This window comes from Homo sapiens, chromosome 3 (assembly GCF_000001405.40).
Source record: "Homo sapiens chromosome 3, GRCh38.p14 Primary Assembly".
In the NCBI taxonomy this organism is placed as follows: Eukaryota; Metazoa; Chordata; class Mammalia; order Primates; family Hominidae; genus Homo; species Homo sapiens.
In genome coordinates this window covers 105,732,376-105,746,716 of record NC_000003.12, presented here as the reverse complement: position 1 = coordinate 105,746,716, position 14,341 = coordinate 105,732,376, and the positions used below count along the sequence as shown (strand labels likewise).

The 14,341-nt window shown below is 34.5% G+C and overlaps 1 protein-coding gene across 44 annotated transcripts in view; it reads left to right on the top strand.

The window, feature by feature from the left end:
* The window catches only part of CBLB (Cbl proto-oncogene B), a 213,989-nt gene that overhangs the window by 122,733 nt on the left and 76,915 nt on the right, over positions 1–14,341 (top strand). For all 44 annotated transcript variants that reach the window (NR_135810.2, NR_135811.2, NR_135808.2 and 41 more), the window contains 4 exons: positions 679–800; positions 6,086–6,223; positions 9,459–9,546; positions 12,577–12,708. Coding sequence is in view for 33 of the 44 variants with exons in the window: in XM_011513257.2 (XP_011511559.1) it covers positions 679–800; positions 6,086–6,223; positions 9,459–9,546; positions 12,577–12,708 (480 nt within the window). In the remaining 11 variants the exon portion in view is untranslated. The remainder of the gene's footprint in view (positions 1–678; positions 801–6,085; positions 6,224–9,458; positions 9,547–12,576; positions 12,709–14,341) is intronic.

Here is a 14,341-nt window from a genome sequence, read left to right as displayed (position 1 = left end):
GTTGTTAACAGTTAACAGACATACAGGGAGGTGAAGAATATGGCAAGAGGTAACAATTTTAAATACACTGGTCAGAGAAGGCTTCATTGAGGAAGTGACATTTGGAGACAGGAATGAGATGGATATTTGGGGGAAGAAAATTCAAGTAAAGGCATCGGCAAATACAAAGTCTCTGAGGGGGAAGAGGGCTTTTTTGTTCAAGACAATAGCAGGCTGGAGAAGATGCAGAAAGTGGGAGAGTTATAGCAGATGGAGACAAAAAAGGGAACTGCTGGGGATCAAACCTTGTAAAGTCCTTCTAAGTGATATATGAGGACTTTGACTTTTATTCAAAGTTAGAAGGCTTTGAACAAAAGAATTATTTCATTTGTGTTTTACAATGGTCACAAGTGCCGTAGCGAGAATAGGCTGTGTAGAGAAGAGATTTTGTGGTTTTCTTTTTTGTTCTCTGTATTCTCTTCCTGAAAAATCTGTTTTCTGCCTAATCATATTTCTGTAAAGAACAATAGACTTGAACGTCTGCTGTTAAGTAACAAAGGTTGACCTAAACCACATAAGGTCAGATTAACTTTTAAAATATCCAAGATAATGTTAAGTGTATTAAATATGGTTCAGTATGTAATCAAAATATTTGATATTCTCTAGATACTAATCTCTTTTAATTTTTTTATTTTTTAGCCTTGGGGCTCTATTTTGCGGAATTGGAATTTCTTAGCTGTGACACATCCAGGTTACATGGCATTTCTCACATATGATGAAGTTAAAGCACGACTACAGAAATATAGCACCAAACCCGGAAGGTAAGACTTTTTAGCAGTAATATTATGTGATATATCCAAAGATGAAAAATTCTCCATGGTTTGTTCCTAAGTAAGTCAGCAATACCCGCTGATGGCATGCTTGGGAGGGGGCTAGAAAAGGTAAAAGACCAAAATGGTGCTTCTTAACATAATGTTTTAAATTGATACATTGTGCTTACTCTGAAACTTGGTATTCATAAAGTGAAAGGGGATATGGTCTCCTTTCTGTTTTCATGATATCCGTGTTTATGTGCAAAATTGAATGTATATATTTGAATACTTGAATACTGTGCTAAAGAACAAATAAATAGAACAGTCTTATGTTCATTACTTTAGGGTATTTTTAAGACATTCATTTAGGCTCTCTGATAAATATAAGTACATATACATGCACATGAACACATAAATATACATGTAAGTTTATGAACAAATACATGTATGTACATAAGCATATATAAACCTATTGTTATAATCAAAACCAATTTCGTGTCCTTGAAAACTTTTTTCATAATGCCTCGTGTTTTATTATAGCCTCAGAATTTATATTTTATTTTCCACATGATGAAACTAAATGAGACTTGGAGAGGTTGGTCAGCCCCTGTGGCTTTGGCCAAGAAATTACACCTTATTAATGGCAAATCTGGATCCAGAAAATCTGTCTCTTCCATGGTTCAGTGCATTTTCCCATGTATTTCATCTAAAAATGCATTAGGCCCATAGTAGGCATTTGTGCTATGGCAGGCAGTATGCTGAGTACGGCAGTAGGGATATTAGAGACCTGCTTGTCAGAGTCCTCACATTTCAGATGCTATTCTGGTATTCATTAGTGCTCTGATTTTCATATAGAGAACATTCCATTTTAGGGATGAATTTGGTGCTGGTTTTTAAGACTGCCTTTTTTTTCTAGTATCATTTTTATTTGGTTTATGGTGTATATAATGTTTGTACTTTATAACATTTTTGTTTTGTTTTGTTTTGCTTTGTTTTTGAGATGGAGTCTTGCTCTGTCACCAGGCTGGAGTGCAATGGCACAATCTCTGTTCACTGCAACCTTCGACTCCCTGGTTCGAGCAATTCTCCTGCCTTAACCTCCCAAGTAGCTGGGATTACAGGTGTGTGCCACCACGCCCAGCTATTTTTTGTATTTTTAGTAGAGATGGGGTTTCACCATGTTGGTCAGGATGGTCTTGATCTCCTGACCTCGTGATCTGCCCACCTTGGTCTCCCAAAGTGCTGGGATTACAGGCGTGAGCCACCATGCCTGGCCAAAACAGTTTTTTTTTTAAGTGCAAGCCAATAGTGCTGATTTTTTCTTCTCTGCCATTATGAAAATTTCCATATTTTTGTCTTTTTAAGAATTTATATAGTGTATTTGAAAAAGGAGCTAGTGAATACAAAAACAGTTTGGCTTCCACTGAAATCTTCTATTTAGACTAAGGAGAGTTAGTTCTCATTGTAACCATGAGAGAAGGTCAGTTATTTTGCATATTGACAGTGGTTTAGATGAATGATTTTCTTTCATTCAAGAATCTCTCATGACCAGATTTTTCCATAGTTTTTACTCTCTTGAATGACATCATATAAAGTATCTTTCTTGCTCTTGGCGTATGATGTGAAAAATGTGTTGTGGTTGGAATTATGCAGTCATACAAAATTTAACATGTGAGTTATTTGATAAATTTTCTTGTCCAATCATAGAAATAATGAGGGAACTGAGGCCTTTATTTTTGGTTTTGTTTTCTTGTTCAGTATCATGGAGAACATGAATTACAATATTGAGAACAACAGCCAGGTCTCATTACTATTTGGAAAAGTTCTCTTAGTAAAAAACTACTGCCCTCTGATAAGAATATCATAAGACCCACCAGTAAACTTATCTTCAAATGTGTACAATATATACATTTTATACAGCTTTTTTGTATATCAGTCATACCTTAAAAAACTAGAATAATGTCCTCTGAGAAAAAAATCCTTCTTTCCTTCCTAACTTGCCATGTAATGATTTTTTCTACTAAATTTTAGGTAGCTAATGATGAAATAAATAATATATAACAAATTATAATGTGTAAAGTATGACATGGGTACTAAAGATGTGTTTAGGAAAACACCCTTAATGAATAAAAAAAAAACTGTAACAAATATTTGCTTTGGAGAATATCTGTGTTTAACATTTTTTTTTTTTTTATCTTGGAAAGTATTTCATGTCTTTGACTTCATAGTATAGAAAACAATTGGATTTACTTCAAGGACATTTTGGCTCCTTAGGTTGTGCTTTATTATTGGGGATCCATCTGACAAAATATGAGTTATGGGGTGAAGGTAGTAACATTTGGAAATCTAAGTGAAGTATTCATTAGGTGACAAGAGTGGCATTGAACCCTAAACCACCTCGTCAACATGAAAGATACTTCATTTTATATGCATATATATATTTTTTTTTAATTTTTTTTTTTTTTTGAGACAGAGTCTCACTGTGTTCACCCAGCAGGAGTGCAGTGGTACTATCTGGGCTCACTGTAAGCTCCACCTCCTGGGTTCAAACGATTCTCATGCCTCAGCCTCCTGAGTAGCTGGGACTACAGGCATGTACCATCATGCCTTGCCAATTTTTTTGTATTTTTAGTGGAGACGGGTTTTCGCCATGTTGGCCATGGTGGCCTCGAACTCCTGGCCTCAAATGATCCACCTTGCTCAGTCTCCCAACGTGCTGGGATTACAGGTGTGAGCCACCACTCCTGGCCCCAATTTGATTAAATGAAGCATGTTGTTTAAGAGAGCAAGGTGCTAAAAATAAGCCAAAAATTCACTTGAGGTTGGGAAGGGGTAGCCACCAGCCAAAGGGTCAGCAGCAAATTAAATGGAATAGGAAAAAGGTGCATGAGAGGAAGAAATTGTTCTAAAATGCCCTTGGCTCTTACCAGATTGCTGGTATTACTATCTCTTATATACATGAATTGCTTGAACCTTCTGTATAATAATGAGTTTTAGAAACACCATCCCAAAACAATGTTTAGAGCAACAGAGAAGGACATGAATTAAAAATGTGAGCAATTTCACAAGTATGTATTTCAGTATCTACTAGATTCTTACTATATGAATAAATTTGGAATTACATTTAAAATTACTAGCAATGCAGATGTGTAATTATTTTCTTCATGTTAATACACTGTAAACTTTGCTGAGATTCATAGTACACAGATTTTTAAGATTTTAACTTTTGACTTAATTTGAAGGAATTTTATCATTAATTTTTTTATGTAACATTTTAATAATGTCCTTCTGAATTATAATTTATAGTGACTTTCTATTATTTTTGGCACTTCTCATAATATCATAGCCGTAGGTCTCTGTGGCATTATTTTATCTGATTTTGATTAAGAATGCCAATAGTTGACAGATTGATATCCTATTTTCAGTTTCTCTAGGGATATATGTTTTTAGACTTTTTTGAAAAGTTCTTTCCAAAGATTCTATCACCAATATAAAGTTTTTAATATTTAAAAATCACTTCTTTTTTTAAATTCTAGTTTGTCCAAAGATGAAATTACACTCTACTACTAAATATACAAGTTAATTAAATCCAGTGACTGCAGCCATTATGTATGTTAAAGTATATCTTTCAAGTTACATTTATAGTGCTTGGTCTATCAATGACTAAAGTATATTTTGACATACTTGTGTCTGCCACATACATACAGCAGCTCGAATATTAAAATATAGCCAACAGATTTAAGTTGGTTTGTTTTTGATCTGCTTAATGGGTAATAAAATCCAGAAGGATATCCTGATAGAAAGATTGAATGCAGTACACTCAAATAAAGAGAAATGATCTAAAATGAAATAAGTACATAGATAGCTAAATGAATACATAAATGATAATGATGGATTTAAAGCCAAGTTGCTGCCTCCTTTTGTTGGATATTAGTTTCAAGGGACTTGATTTGATTTATATTTTTGAACTATCTTAACTTCCCCTTGTAAGATACTGAATTTGACATGGTTAGATGGCAGGCATGAAATTACCTAGTTTGCACTTTTGAGCTTTAGGGATGAATGGCAGGAATACCTGAAAGAAAAGTTACTATTTTTTTAACAGTTGGCCGGGTGCGGTGGCTCACGCCTGTAATCCCAGCACTTTGGGATGCCGAGGCGGGTGGATCATGAGGTCAGGATATCGAGACCATCCTGGCTAACGTGGTCTCTATTAAAAATACAAAAAATTGGCCAGGCGCGGTGGCTCATGCCTGTAATCCCAGCACTTTGGGAGGCCAAGGCGGGCAGATCACCAGGTCAGGAGATCGAGACCATCCTGGCTAACACGGTGAACCCCATCTCTACTAAAAATACAAAAAAATTAGCTGGGTGTGGTGGCGGGCACCTGTGGTCCCAGCTACTCGGGAGGCTGAAGCAGGAGAATAGCGTGAACCTGGGAGGCGGAGCTTGCAGTGAGCCGTGATTGCGCCACTGCACTCCAGCATGGGCGACAGAGCAAGACTCTGTCTCAAAAACAAAACAAGCAACAACAACAACAAAATAACAACAACAACAAAAATACAAAAAATTAGCTGGGCGTCGTGGCACACGCCTGTAGTCCCAGCTACTCAGGAGGCTGAGGCAGGAGAATCGCTTGAACCTGGGAGGCGGAGGTTGCAGTGAGCCGAGATGGCGCCACTGCACTACAGCCTGGGTGATAGAGTGAGACTGCGTCTCAAAAAAAACAAACAAACTAATTTTAATGTCTAAATTACAAAGGAATATATCGAATTCTAAGCCTGGGTGACAGAGTAAGACTCCGTCTCAAAAAAAAAAAAAAAAAAAAAACCCTAATTTTTATGTCTAAATTACAAAGGAATATATTGAGTTCTACAGTAGAAACTGGCTCAGTTTTTGTCTGAGGTAGGCAAATTAAATTTAAATTTTTACTTATTTATTTTATTTTTACATTCCAAGAGTGATTTATTTTGTAGCTATTCCATGCCATCAGCATTTCCATACACCGCATCCTGATGATGATGGTAAAAAAATCCCTAGTTTACAATCTTGTTTATTTTCTTATATATGTATCTGGAAGTATTTAAATAAAAAGAAATGATCAGTGTTTCTCTTGTAAATTGATAAATGGAGAAGTACATTGTTGCTAAAAATAAGTTAGAAGACAGAATATGAGGAGTATTCAGGAATTCTAAATGATTGTTTATTCTTTTGCTTGGAAGAAACCTAACAAATTGTTTAGTATTGATTTATATTCTGAATGTAATTAGATGTAATTTTCTTATGTTTTGCAGCTATATTTTCCGGTTAAGTTGCACTCGATTGGGACAGTGGGCCATTGGCTATGTGACTGGGGATGGGAATATCTTACAGACCATACCTCATAACAAGCCCTTATTTCAAGCCCTGATTGATGGCAGCAGGGAAGGATTGTAAGTATGAGAAATGGAAGTTGGAGTGCTTATGATTCATGAATTTGAAAAATAAAGATTGCTTTGTGATGGCGAAAATGGATAGCAAGGCTGCTTTTTATGTTAAGACTGAGAAATAATGGATGTTCCTTAGTTTTTTGTTCATCTTTTTATATAATCATTTTAAGGTAACCTAATTATTTGAAACTATGTTATAGCAAATACATTTCAACTTCAAATTACAACATGAATTTTTATCTTTCATATGATAAAAACTTGGGACTTAAAGGTAGTTTTAAAATGGATGTAAAACTGTTTATATATTAAGAGAAAATTATTTAGAATAATTGACTTCTGTTTCTTCATATAACCCTTAGAATACTAGTTTCACTTTTTCTTTCTTTTTTTTTTTTGAGATGGAGTCTAACTCTGTTGCCAGGCTGGAGTGCAGTGGCACAATCTCTGCTCACTGCAACCTCCGCCTCCTGGGTTCAAGGGATTCCCCTGCCTCAGCCTCCCAAGTGGCTGGGACTACAGGCGTGCGCCACCATGCCCTGCTAGTTTTTTGTATTTTAGTAGAGACGGGGTTTCACCGTGTTAGCCAGGATGGCCTCAATTTCCTGACCTCATGATCCACCCGCCTCGGCCTCCCAAAGTGCTGGGATTACAGGCATGAGCCACTGTGCCCAGCCAGTTTCACTTTTTTTATTTTGATTGTTAGTGCCAGATTTTCTTTTCTCTTTCTTATCTGTTTCTCCCTCCACCCCTTTTCTTTTCTCTCTGTAGATCTTTCCTTTTTCACACTAATAATAACTCCATATTCAGGACTATATGTTAATAGCTAAGTTTAGTTTATCTCAAGCTATTCCTTTTTAAAATTTAAAAATAAGTTAAGTTTCCCTTTGTTTTTTAGATTAATAATGAATTCTCCCCCACTCACTCCACACACAAAGTATGGACAATCTGTTGGGCCCCTTCATAGTAAATATGTCTGATTCTTCTTATTTGTTTTATTCACATGCCTTTCCCTTTGTCCTCTCCTTGTATTCTCAGTGCACTTGATCATGCTGCTTTTTCTTCCCCTCTGCCTTGCTGGATAACTTAGAGATGCTCGTGATCAAACTCGCTGCAGTATGAATTCTGGTAGAAACCTAGAAGGAAAAAGTCCACCAGAGTTAACAAAGAGCAAATGATTTGAGTTTTACCTTTATCAAAGTAATTGCAAAAAAGAAAGAAAGAAAAGAAAAAAAGTGATGAGATTTATACAAAGAAAAATTAGGAATTTCTAAAAACCTATGAGCTTTTGGGTGGGAGTGGTGGCTTACGCCTGTAATCCCAGCATTTTGGGAGGCCAAGGCAGGAGGATCACTTGAGCCCAGGAGTTCGAGGTCAGGCTGGGCAACATGGCAAAACCCTAGCTCTACAAAAAATGCAAAAAAATTAGCTGGGCATGGTGGCGCGTGACGGTAGTCCTCGCTACTCTGGAGGCTAAGATGGGTTAATCACCTGAGCCTGGGAAGTTGAGGCTACAGTGACAACATCGTGCCACTGCACTCCAGCCTGTGCATCAGAGTGAGACCTTATCTGAAAAAATAATAATAATACCAACACACACAAAACCTTTCAATAAATTAATTACATAGTAATTGTATGGCAAGTTATGGTACCAAATGTGTATTTCTCTTTCTTTTTCCTTCTAATTTTCATAAATTTGCTAGTGTCGGTTATTTATACCTTTCTTCTAATGCATCAAAGCTTTGTGTATAGATTTTGATTTACCATGATTACAGATTTTTTTTAAGAAAATATACTTTAAAGTTTGAATTTATAAGTAGAACCTATCAACAACCTCCTGATAGGTTAAAAAGAACCTTTAACCTTTCCTATGGTACCCTAATCATGATTTTTGTAATCTTTAATTTCTGAATTCTTGCTAGAATTTCTTCATATTATTTGAAATGTGATACATAAAATTTTATATAATATTTTTTTAAATGGCCAATTTTTAGGGTATATAAAAAAGTTGCTTATTCTTCTTTGGATTATCATTCCTCATTTAATGTTTGTCAAATTTTGTAACACACCCATAAGGACATTCTAAATTTGTATCATACTCAGATGTAGTAAACTCCTTTTGCTAAATCATAAAAAAATCATCTCACTGATTTGTCCCTTACTATGTAAGAATTATCTGTCCTTTAAGTTCATTTTTCTGGTTTTCCTGGGTAAATTCTAACACTTAACATGTTTGTAGACTCCTCATTCGAGGATAAATATTTTTTGTTATTTTAAAGAATAGATTTGTTATAGTTTTACCCTTTAAAATATACATACTACAGTACTATATTCTTATTGTTTTATTTAAGAAATTTAGTATAGAAAGATGTTAAACAGAACTAACCATAATTTAATAAACTGATGAAATACAGCAGTGACATTACCACTTTTTTCAATTAAAAATAAGTATTTACCAACACAGTAAATTTTATTTTTTAATGAATTTTTCAATAACAAGTACAACTTCTGATTTAACACAGCAAGAATGCATTATTACTACAACTTTTAGTTCAGATTTCAGTTTTCCCTGATAATAGAACCTTGTATCTATAGACCATTTTGTGTTTGTAGTGTTAAGTCAATGAAACATGGAAACGTAACATTTTCTAATTTTTTAAAATGTGTATGTGCCTGTGTGTCTGTGTGTTTGCATATGTGCACATGTGTTTGTGTTAGGTGAGGGGAAGATGGGAGAAGAGATATGGAAACTGTAGAAACAGGAATACCACAGAAGTGTTTGAGTAACTTACAAGAAAACTGTGGCCTTTAATTATATTTTTCTTTCCATGTGGTATTAGGCATGGTGTAAAATGATACCATTATTACCTGTGCCTCAGATGAAGGATGTAATAGTTGCAAATAGGTATATCTTCAAAGTGTTTTGGAATACAACATGATTGACCAGTGAAATAAATTCTTAACTTATATAAGAGACATATATTAAAGGTATTTCATTGAAAATGGTTGCTTAGTGGGTTAGGCTATATTCATTATGTATTTCTTATATGAAAATTCTACATTTTAAGTGTCCTAAAAACAACATAGTAATTTGGAAACATTGAAGTAATATGTTATTGATATGTTACATGAAAAGGAAACATCCAAATGTATGTTTGAATATAGAAAAATTTGATTAAATATCCTTAAATGCAATTAAAACTTGTATATTTAAGGTAATAAAGTTTCTGTTTAAATTCAGTTATCTTTATCCTGATGGGAGGAGTTATAATCCTGATTTAACTGGATTATGTGAACCTACACCTCATGACCATATAAAAGTTACACAGGTAAGGATAATTGCTAGAAAAGTATAATTAAATAAGTATCCATAATGCCCTTGAAATAAATAAGACTCTCTTAGTGTAGTTAAAATCATGCACAGGTATTTAATACAAAATATACTTAAGGAATTCTAAGAGTGTTTAAGGAGAAATTATATTACTTTCTTAGATTTTTTGATACAAATTTATGCTGTTAAAATTCTTGCTTTCCATATAGTATTGGCATTTATATGGGGGAAATAAATAAATCCATAAGCAAGTAGGTGGATGTAAGGAGAGAGCCATAGTTTAGAAAGCTACCAAAAAAAGATTAGAATAATTATATGCCTTAGATTTTAGAGTCAAATGGGTAATTGAAGCCTGTTGAAGATAACAATTATGTTTTTCTAAATCCATTGCTGGCAGCCTCATAGCTTATGAATAGGAATGTAAGTTGGTAAAACCTTTCTTGAGAGTGATATTCAGTGATTATAAAAATCTAAGTGAAAATATCTTTTCACTTTAAATTCTATATATGTAATAGATCCCATATATATCACTTACACATGCACACAAAAATCTATACAACAGGTATTTACTGTAATATTTTTTGTAAAAGCGAAAAATTACAAAATACTAAGAACTTTAGTAATAGATTAAATAAAATAGACTACTGTTCTCATACTGTATTGTGTGAAGTCATGAACAGGAGGGAGGTAGCTCTACATACTCACATGGGAACTTCTGCATCTTGTACTGTAAAATAATTCCATTTATGTAAAGTACATGTAGGTAACATTTCATTTGGTCAAGTTGCATTATGTACGTTCAACTTCTGTAAGGAAATAATTAATTAATTGCTGTATATGAACATGTGAGTATAGTTTTTAAAAGATCAAAAAAACACCAAACTGGTAAGAAGATTTAACTGAGGAGGTGAAAAGGGATTGAGCAGTGAGGGAGGGGATGAAGGGAGAACTTGAATATTTTATTTTATATTCAGTCTAGTTTTAAAATATTTTATATTTGAGATATGTTCACGCCTTGTGTAATAAGTAATAAAAATCTAAGGGAAAAAACAAGAGAAGAATTACAGCTTTTTTTAAGACAGTAGATAATAATTTACCTTATAATTCTCCAGATTTCCTTTCCCATGGTCTTTACATTATTATGTGAGACATACACATTGACATTTATATGTACATATTGTACGTGTAAATTTAATAAATGATTGCCTTGTTTTTCTTTTTTTGAGACAGAGTCTTGCTTTGTCGCCCAGGCTGGAGTGCAGTGACGCGATCTCGGCTCACTACAACCTCTGCCCTCTGGGTTCGAGCTGTTCTCTTGCCTCAGCCTCCCGAGTAGCTGGCATTACAGGTGCCTGCCACCACTTCCGGCTAATTTTTGTATTTTTAGTAGAGATGGGGTTTCTCCATGTTGGTCAGGATCAAACTCCTGACCTCAGGTGATCCACCCGCCTCGCCCTCCCAAAGTGCTGGGATTACAGGCGTGAGCCACCATGCCCGGCCATGATTGCCATTTTAAATTTAATATATGATTGCCATTTTAAAAGTTATGTGGTGATCCTGTATTTTCAAATATGTGTGAAAGGATACTTAGGAAAGACAGTTCCTCTTTATAAAGCCATTAAAAAAATAAATCTTTGGAAGTAATAACATCCCCTTAAATTACTCATAAATACTCTTACTGTTTAGGTTGCATTGAGATCTGCATCTTTGATTTTAGCTTAATGTAATTTTTTTTATAATTGCATATTTTTCCTTTGGACAGTCATAACCAGTATCAATACTTATCTATTATTTCAGGGACATCAGCAATTTATAACTTACTTTGAATTACTTTAGTTTTATTTCTTCTCCATTTTTATGCATTCTCTCGTCTCTTTCCTTAAGTTCCCCACAAAATTTTTGTATATTCACACATCATAATAGACACAGTTTATGTGTACATGTGTGTACCTGCATGTACATGCATATGTATCCATGTATGTTTATGTATATGTATATTTTTCTCACCAGGATTATAATATATTTTAGTAGTCTGTGGACTAAATATTATTATTTATTTATCCTACTCCGTGCCAGGCACATTGTAGTCACTTACTGAACTAAAAGTTGCTTTATTTACCCAAATATTGGTTTCATAATTCCTTTTCTTTGTATTCCTAACATCTTTTTTCATTATTTACCAATTTATTTGTATTTTTTCAAATTTACCAATTTATTTGTATTTTTGTCACGAAGATCTTTTCAGTATTTGAATTTTGAAAATTTTACTGTGTCAAATGTTTTAAGCTAAAAACCCAATCAATCAAGAACATTGCAGTTTTAATAAAATGGTTTTTGGTTACTGAAGTGATTTGTTTTCTTGACAGTGTTAGGGAAAGCGTATGCACTTTTTAGTCAGAGGCTTAATTTAGAGTTTGAAGCAAACAAGTTAAACTGATTAAGCCCCAGGCCTAACTTTTGTTAAGTTCAATATATCTTCTTGTGCTTTGGAGATGAAGTGAAATAGTAAGTGTGGACCACAGTGCCTGGCATGCGGGAAGTGCTTGGTAAATGTTTGTCACTTTTCTTGCATTCAGGGATTTCTAAAGATATTGAAACAGTAAAATTTAATGTTTAGCCAAGTATCATTTTTTTTTCAATTTGACAGTTAAATTATATGAGCATGTGGCATTTATAAAAAAGATAAAGTCATTTTATATTCCTATTTTAAAACCATAGATTTTGTCTTTTGAGTCACCATGACTATTGAAGCAAGTCCCTTCCTAAAGGAACAGTAAAGGAACCTTAAATAATATGAATCATTAAGAAGCATGTAAGATAGATGATAAAAGTTCAAACCTTTTTAAAATGAATTTTGTAGACCAAATTGTGATTATCAATTCAAAACATGTCTCAAATGGTAACAAAATTCTGACAAGGTCAATTGTGAGATATTGACTGTGCGTCATTTTATTTGGGAAAATTTGATACTAACAATTTGTGCTGGAAATACATTAACATTACTTTCTCCCTCCTCCCCAAATTCCAGGAACAATATGAATTATATTGTGAAATGGGCTCCACTTTTCAGCTCTGTAAGATTTGTGCAGAGAATGACAAAGATGTCAAGATTGAGCCTTGTGGGCATTTGATGTGCACCTCTTGCCTTACGGCATGGCAGGTATAATCATTAGCAACATGGATGTCTTTCTTATATGTCCTACTAATATTTCTCTTTTCAGTTTTCTTAATGGTTTAGGAAGTAATGCTGGTAAGTGCTTTGTTTGAAATGATTGTGTAAAGATTTTATATGTTTGAGTTGCTATATATAATTTGATTTTTAACTATCTTATATTTTATCTTTAAATGTATAAATTTTATTATATTAGTCATCAGTAGTTCTACTTCTGTAGTACCATGGATTTCAGTATGTTCACTTATAGGTATTACCAACTAGACATTTTTATGCCATTTATTGATAGGTCAGAATCTGTTTGTAGTAGGTCAGTTTCTGAAGCCAAGTAAACCATAGTAGATAAATCTTATTTTGATATTTTCAAGCAAACTTCTTTACTCCTGAGGAGGCATGGTTCCTGTCTCACATATGCTCCGTAGTGCTGAAATTGGAGAATCAGACAGGAAGTATCTCTCAAACACTTATAGTTCCCACAGAAACAGGCATTAAAGTTCCCTATTTACTGAAGCATAATCTCAGGCAAATTGCCTTCCCATCTGCCGCAGGCATTCAATAAATATAAATTGATTTGAAGTTTTATAGGAAGGTCTGGAGAATAACTGGTTTTCCCAAGGACTTTCCTTTTTTTTTTTTTTTTGAGACAGAGTCTTGCTCTGTCGCCCAGGCTGGAGTGCAGTGGCACGATCTCGGCACACAGCAAGCTCCGCCTCCTGGGTTCACGCCATTCTCCTGCCTCAGCCTCCCGAGTAGCTGGGTCTACAGGTGCCCGCCACCGTGCCCAGCTAATTTTTTGTATTTTTAGTAGAGACGGGGTTTCACCATGTTAGCCAGGATGGTCTCGATCTCCTGACCTTGTGATCCACCTGCCACGGCCTCCCAAAGTGCTGGGATTACAGGTGTGAGCCCAAGGGCTTTCTTATATTTCTTCATCTGTAACAAAGATTGGGGATTTTTAAAATGGATCTTTGGACAGATTTCCAGTTTTGAGTATTTGGAGGAGTCATGGAATATTTTGATCAAGCCATTTTGAAACTGTTTGACATAGTTATATTGAAGTTAGAAGTATATTGATAGGGTTTAGAAAGCAAATAATTAAATTTTCTAGTCTTTAAAAAAGATTTTCGGTGAAGCATAAAGTTGACATTCCTACCCTATTTCTAAGCCCTCTCAGTCCTTGATTTTCTTTGTCCAACCCTGCATCTCTGCATGAGTTGAGGAAGGATGGACATTGAGGCTCATGGAAGGGGGCTGACAGACTCAGAGGGGCATTGATGCCTGCCGAGCTCCTTACTTAGTAATAAAATATAATGATTTTCCCATTTTCATAGTCATAAAAGGGCCTGCTTCTTCTTTTGTGAATATTTTTTTAATGGATGAGGAAAAGAGGAAGAATTAGGAAATGAATTACAGTTGATTTATATTTTCAAAGTCCTTTCTGAATGCCCAGAGATCTTTGCTACCTCAGTAACGTTGTTCAAAATCCCTATACTTCTCTTCTTCATATGCATTTGGCTTATATTTTGTTTTACGTTTTTCTTTATATCCTCTCCCTTATTTCCTTTTATCCCTTCATGATGTTGGCGAAATTTGCATATTACAGGGAGATGTTGAAGGAGAT